The sequence below is a fragment of the Homo sapiens genome, chromosome 8 (genome assembly GCF_000001405.40).
Source record: "Homo sapiens chromosome 8, GRCh38.p14 Primary Assembly".
NCBI classification, from domain to species: domain Eukaryota; kingdom Metazoa; phylum Chordata; class Mammalia; order Primates; family Hominidae; genus Homo; species Homo sapiens.
This window is the reverse complement of record NC_000008.11, coordinates 135395906-135403576: the sequence shown is the minus strand read 5'-3', so window position 1 is coordinate 135403576 and position 7671 is coordinate 135395906. Positions and strand designations below refer to the sequence as shown.

Here is a 7671-nt window from a genome sequence, read left to right as displayed (position 1 = left end):
ATCCCTTGCCACTCTGTGTCCTTGGCATGTGTGGAATCTGGGGTGGTAGCACAAGCTGAGCAGGGCCTGCCAGGCTCAAGCCCAACAGGCCTGAGCAAAACTTGGGCAAAGGCACCACTGGCCACAGAAGCTTCCAGCTGGAAGAGCAACACCTCAGGGATCCCGTGACATTTTCATGTGGTTTTTCTTTTGTCTGGAAAACACGTGTCTAATTCACCTGGCTAAGTTCTAACCATCCTCATGACTCAGCTCAAAGGTCCCTTCCTCCAGGCAGTCTTCCCTGAACATTCTTCCTCTTTGGGTTCCCATAGTCTGCTGAGCTGTGGGTCTCACAGTCTTCATCGCACTGATCTTTCTTTGTTTGCTTACATGACGATTTTCTTCATGGCTAGACCCTGGCACTACCTTCCATGTGTTCAAATCTTGGCTGTACCACTTGTAGCTGTGTGACCTCGAGGAGCTTACCTAAACTTCTTTGCCTTGGTTGCTTTATCTATAAAATGAGACTGATAATGTATTAATTGAATTTGCTTCTGGAAAGCACTTATAGCAATGTCTGGCATATAGGAAGGGTTTTACATCTATTTGCCACTAAACCTCAAACACTGTTAGAGCTGAGACCACATCTTATTTATGAATGCCCAGAGCTGGCAGAGGATCTGGCATGTAGTAGGTGTTCAACACACATTGGTGGACTAAATAAATACATGTGGGCAAACAGCTCTTGGGAGAAGACACAAGGACTCAAAGGCAATCCAAGGACAAAGAAAGTCTCCTTGCTGAGGATAGGAGAGGAGGTGAAGAGTAAAAGAAGTCCTGGTGGAATCCAAGGCAAGTAGAATTGGGGTGGGGAGAGTAGAGGGTGGCATATGGAAGAAAGTAATGATAATAGCACAGATTCTTATAAGTGTAATCATGGAGGCAGACAGGAATGGATGTGGCTGCGAAGACCAACATGGCATGGCAGAGAAGGCACTGGGCTGGGCTGAGAAGGCTGGCTGGGGGCCATAGGTAAGCTAATGACCTTCTCTGTGCCTTAGTCCCACATGGTTCCATTCTGCCTAGTGGGGGGGCAAGAATCGGCAATTGTTATGGATTTCATGTTTTCCCTCCAAATTCATGTGTTGAAGCCCAAATTCCCAACGTGATGGCATTAGGAGGTGGGGCCTTTGTGAGGTGATTGGGTCATGAGGGTGGAAACCTCATGAATGGGATCAGTGCCTTGATAAGAAGAGACACCAGAGACTTTGATATCTCTCTCTCTCTCTGTGTACACACACTGAGGAAAGACCAAGTAAGCCCACAGTGAGAAGGCAGCTGTCTGCAAGCCTGGAAGGCAGCCCTCACCAGAACCTGACCATGTTGGCACCCTGAACTCACACTTCCAGCTTCCTGAATCATGAAAAAAGTAAATCTCTACCATGTAAGTCACCCAGTCTATGGTATTTTGTTAGGGCAGGCTGAGCTAACTAAGTGAGCAGCACAGCCTCTTTTGTGTTTTTCTGTAACCTGCTATTTTTCTCTCAACAGTACATCATCAATATACCTGTGCCTTGACTTGCATATCAGTGCATTTGTTTTATCTTCTGTGTACTATTCCATTGCACTACAAGACCACAAGGCACTGATATATTTCCTTATAGAAGAACAGTTAGGGAGCTTCTCATGTGTGTGTTCTCACAAAACCTGTAGCCATAAACTTCTGTGTGTGTGTCTTCTATGTCTATATTGGAGCATTTTTCCAGAAAGTATACTAACAAGTGGATGTCTAGGAATTGCTTATGCATATGCTTTATTAGAGATTGTTAATGGCTGTCTAAGTTGTCCCAATTTATAATACCAAGCTGGCCAGTTTTTAGGATATCTTTGAATGCTGATGTTCTGTGAATTTGTGATCCCCCCATCCCTACCCCCAGCCTCTCCATAACTGTCTTGCATTCTCCTGGAAGGAAGACAAGCATCCAGGGACCTTGGGAGGATGCAACCATATGTTCAGAGTGACTTCTATTTACCAGAGCCCAGAGAAGAACATAGTTTGGGAAGAAGAGTCATGACCACCACAAAGGGCTTTGTTTCTATCTCTGCCATGTTTCCCAAAAGAGAAAAAGACTAACCAATGATAATAGCACAATGAGAACCATGATAGGCAACCACGGTGTGCTCTGGGCATCCATGGTAGCAAAGTTCTTTAACAATCACTGGTATTTTTCCCTTGGTCAAAGACACAGGAAAGGTAAAAACCCTGGAAATGTAAGGATCAGAAGCTCTGTAAAAAGTGGAATTCAAGACTAGGAGCCCCATGTTATCCATGTGGGGTTCCATTCGCTAAGGCTTCCCCAGCCTGCCTGTATTTTTCCCAGAGATGAGCTGGCATTGGGACAAGCTCAGGCTTCTGGTCAGGCTACCTCACACACTGCTACAGATCATGGCCTAAATCATTATCTCAGAAATTGATGAGCTGACCCTAAAATTCACAAAGATATGCAATGTTCCCAGAATAGCCAAAACAATCTTGAAAAGAAACAAAGTTGAAGGACTTACACTTTCTGACTTTAAAACTTACCATGAATCTATAGTAGTTAATACTGTGTGGTCCTTCCTAGCATGAGGATAGACACAGATCAATGGGATAGAATTGAGAGTATGTCAATAAGCCTACATATCTATGGTCAATTAATTTTTGACAAGAACACCAAGATAATTCAATAGGGGAAATGATAGCCTTTTCAAAAAACGAATGATGCAGGGATAACTAAATATCTTTATACAAAATAATAAATTTTAATTCCTACCTCACATCGTATATAAAAATTAACTCAAAATGGATTATAGACTGAATATGAATCACAGATCAAAATGTAAGACTAAAACTATAAAGCTTTTAGATGAAGACATAGGTGCAAATCTTTGTGATCTTAGATTAGCAATGGTTTTTAGATATGGTACCAAAAGCACAGTGAAAAAAGAAAAAAATCAGTAAATTAGTTTTCATAAAAGCTTTTGTGCAAAGGACACCATCAAGAAGGTTAAAAAATAAACCAGAGGAAGGAATAAGATATTTGCAAATCACATATTTGGTAAGGGACTAATATCCAGAATACATAAAGTACTCTTACAACTCAACAACTCAAAGACAAATAGCCCAGTTTAAAAATGGGCAAATGATTTAAGTAGACTTTTTTTTTTCAAAGAAAACATACAGATGGTCAACAAGCATGTGAAAAGATGCTTAACATCAGCAGCCACTAGGGAAATGTAAATCAAAACCACAGCGATAGCACACCACACCCACTAGGATGGCTAAATAGGCAGAATAACAAGTACTATTGAGAATGTAGGGAAATTAGAACTCCCTAACTGCTAGTGGGAATGTCAAATGGGGCACACCCTTTGGAAAACAGTTTGGTAGTTCTTCAAATCGTTAAGTATACAGTTACCACATAACTTAACAATTCTATTTCTAGGTATATATTCAAAAGAATTTAGAACAGGTCTTCTAATAAAAACTTGTGCATAAATGTTCACAAGAATATTATTCATAATAGCCAAAAAGTTGAAACAACCCAACTGATAAACAAATGTGATATATCCATACGAAGGGAATATTTTCCAGCCGTAAAAAGGAATAAAGTACTGGTACATGATACAACATGAATGATCCTTAAACTTATATTGCTAATTGAAGGAATCCAGACACAAAGGTCACGTAGTACATAATTCAATTTATATAAAATATCCAGAATAAACAAATCTAAAGAGACAGAAAACAGACTAGTGGTTGTCAGGAGAAGGGGTTGGGGTAGAAATCAGGACTGACCGCTAATAGTACCAGGTTTCTTCTGGGGTGATGTAAATGTTCCAGATTTAAATAATGGTGATGGTTGTGCAACTCTTTGAATATATGGTACGTGAATTGTAGCTTAATAATAATGATAATGAAAGCTATTGTCAGGCAGAAGCTCCCTGAATCCTTGATTTGATGAACTTCTAATGAATCAAAATGATTTTAGGACCAACATCGTTTGCCAATAATTTTATTCTACTAAATAGGATATTAAAAGAATAACTTACTACCATCATTTTTAAAAGGAAAAGTATTTTCACATCAGAAAGTGGAAAGAACATTGTCTTAAAGTTATTTAAATTGACTAAACTTAGCTTTATGAAAAACTTTCCACATTCATCCCCAAGATGCTGATATTTGATATAAATAAATACTTTACTTTGCTGCAACTTAGTATACAGCAAGCACAATGCCTGGCTTTGGGCAGGGCTGACAGTCAGCTGGAACCCACCGGTACAGCGTGCTGACCACGATGGTGATGCCCCATCATCGGGACCTGGCATTCCATGCCAGCTGGGATATATTGTGAAAATCACACTTCACACTGGACATTCAGAATGGAAAACAAACATGGTCTTTTCTTCATGAAGAATACAGACTGCTAGGGAGACGGCTATTAATATAAATATATAATTAAAGGTTCTGACAAGTCCTCGGAAGGACAAGAATTAGAATTGAATATACTAAATGGAGAAGGCAACAGGAAAGGGCTCTTCAGCCACTTTTATTTCCTTCATTTCGCCTTGGACTGGTGGAAACATCACAGATCTGCACTGGTCTGGATCTGGGAAACACTGGAATAGGTCAAAGGGCTCTAGGAAAAATGTGTGAAGTGTCAAGTGTTAGATGAGAATGCAGGACGAGGACCGAAGCTGATTGCAGTAAAACGCAGAGGTGTCTCTTTGTCCTGAGCCACCTGCCTGGGGAATCTTTCAAAGTGAGAAGCCAATCTGGTGGGAACAGTTGGACAAGGAGGTGCGATCTGGAGCTTGTTACATTTCTTGTCACTCTCCCAGGGATGCCAAGAGCCCTTGCCTAACAACCACCGCTGCTCTCCAGTCAGCCCATCTTCTCAGCAGGTGGCAAGTTCCTCCCGCTGAGAGTGGGAGAAAGAAGGAGAGAAGGGAAAATTAACAGAGTGCCTTCAGTGTCAGGCACCCTACCCGTGCTTTAGATTTGCTGTCTGCCCCTCTTGACAACATTCACCTGAGCTCCCCTTTGATGGTGATGGAGAGTAGGCTGGGCCTGGGCTAGAGTTGAAAAGGGGATTTGGTTCTTGGAGCTGAGGCCTTGGGCTAAGTTTTTTTTCTGAGTCGAGAGGAAAGCTAAGAGCTGCAACGGTGAACCAAGGCCGAATCTGCGAGAAAGGCGCAAGTCTCAATGTTGGTTAAGCATAGAGCGATACAACTTTCTCTTAGGCAGGAGTGTCATAAGCTGAATTAAGAGGTAGAAGTGGATGGTCCTTGTGTCTGTTTTAGAGATAATTTAATCCTCTATCCAGTAATTCTTATAGATCTGATAAATTCAGTAAAATAACTGATGGACACTGCAAAAAAACATACAAGTTGGTAATTTGTTCAAATTAACAAGACAATTGTTAAGCCAGTGGGTTGGCAAACTATGGCCCTTGGACCAGATCCAACCCACAGCCTGTTTTGTAAATATTGTTGGAACCCTGACACACCCATTCATCTGTGTATCATTTACAGCTGCTTTCATATTACAACAGAAGAATTGAATGGTTGTGACAGAGACCATATGGCTGGCAAAGCCTAAAATATTTGCTATTTGGCTGCTCACAGTACAAGTTTGCCAACTCCTGCTCTAGGTCTTTGATACACTTAATTTTATCTACCTGGGTAGGTTGCGTTCATTCATTGCATGAATTCATGCCGCACATGCCAATTGAAAGCTTAGTATGAAATGTACTAGTGGCTGGGAAGAGAAAGCTAGAAGATCCAGCTCCTGCCATCAGAGAGCCATGTGTTCAGTGAGGAGATGCAGATGATTGCTATGTAGGTGGTAGTTACTACAGGATAGGCTGCTAGCACACGTGGGGTGGGGGATGGAGGTTGGGTTGGAAGTAAGCCAATTCCCAGCAACCTCAGGGTCCTTTTTGATGTCCAGGGATGATACACTGGGGGAAGTATGGGGCTGCCTTAAGGAGAAGGTCGGGCCAGATGTGAGAAACACCCCTAATAGCTGTGGGTGGTGAGCTTGATTGCGCCAGGAAGAACTTAGGAGTGCATCCTCAGCAGAACTGGCTCAGCTTACACGGGGTGTGACACCAGAGAAGGATCTCAGAAGGTTCCTTGCTGCTGAGAGGTACCCAGGTCTTATTGCATCTTTCTGAGGTTCTGGATGTTTGCGGTGATGACTTGGGCGTGATGGCTCTTGCCTGCCTTAGATCCTGGAGGGGTCTGGGAGGTTGCATCGACACTCAGAGAGGGCCGAATTTCCCTCTGCTCTCCTCTTGCCCTCTGCCAGGACTCACACATCTCCTCAATCCTTTTCTGCGCTGTCATTTCTCATCCAGGTGGTTCACTTCAACAAATATTATTACCCGATGTTTTCCAAACTTCCCTGTAAACAACAATCACCTGGATTCTTGCAAGTCTTGTTATTCTCTTGCAATAACTAACAGACTAGTACAAAGTGGCAGACTGCTGGGAACCCAGCTGAGACCTCCTGGTCTGTAAATTTAACAAAGCCCCCAGGTGACTTTTATCAGGGAGCGTGGAGAACACTAGGCTCCTAACAGTGTTTGAGACTGTGCGTGCTTTAAACTGGACCCCAGGTAGTCTGACCCCAGCTTTACTACTTTCTTACTCTTCAACCTCGTATAGATTAGGGGACCAAGTTATGCATTAGCTTTTCCTCTGTGGAATGAAGATAAGTACAATGCCTCTCCCTTAGGCTCGTTTTGAACATAAAATGAGGTGTTCATGGAGCACCTAGCAAAGTATGAGGCATGGACTAAGCCCGTGGTTAAATGTTAGTGTTCAGACATTTGCTAATAAGCTAAGGAATAACTGGAAAAGAACTCTGCTAAGTGCTGGGTAGTGAGAAGTAAATAAGATGAATGTTTCCCTCCCCAGTGCCCTTTGATCTTTCCAAACCTCTCATTTGACTTTTCCCTGCTTAAAGACCTCCTGTGGCTCTGGCCTAGCTCAACCCTGCAGTCTCATTTCCTCCCTGGCCTCTCTTAAAATGTCTTAACATTTTCCTGCTTGCAGGCATTGTTTTCTTGCCTCCCGATCTTCCTCCAGCTGTTGCTTCTGCCTGGGATACATGCATCTCCTTGCATTGACCTACTCCACAGTTAGTTCCTTGTCAGGTGTTAATGCTCAGCTTGGTTGTTTCCTTCCCCAGGTTAACACCCTTGATTCCAAGGCTAGGCTAGATGCTGCACATCTACAGGGGTCCCATAGGCAGACAACATGCCAGATGCAAAGGCAGGCAGTTGGAATGAGTCAGGAAGGCCAGCAGAGGGACCGGTTTATGAAGGAGTTCACATGCCAGGTGGTGGTGTATATTGATAGAAACAAGATACTTTCAGAGAAGAAATGGAAACTTCCAGTGTGAGTTCCTAGAAATGGAAGATACTCGATGGGGGTACCCATCAGGGGTCTTTGATGTCAAAGAGAAACACACTGGACACCTGTTGAAGGTGGAAAGACAGGTTTTCTTTAAATGACTGCAGTAGGAGAGACAGACTACTATAAACTGAGCTCAACTCCAACTAAGACAAAGGTGGCTGAGCTTTGTAAAGGGAGAACAAAAAGGAGCTATGGGAAGTAGAAAAGGGGGAATCAGCCAGGTATGGT

The 7671-nt window shown here is 42.8% G+C and overlaps 1 annotated feature.

Moving 5' to 3' along the window:
* Positions 6641–7420: an enhancer, noted in NCBI's record as "OCT4-NANOG hESC enhancer chr8:136408400-136409179 (GRCh37/hg19 assembly coordinates)". NCBI's record gives its function as "activates a minimal SCP1, AML or CMV promoter by ChIP-STARR-seq in primed H9 embryonic stem cells {active_cell/tissue: H9 hESC(primed)}" and the evidence as "EXISTENCE:reporter gene assay evidence [ECO:0000049][PMID:30033119]".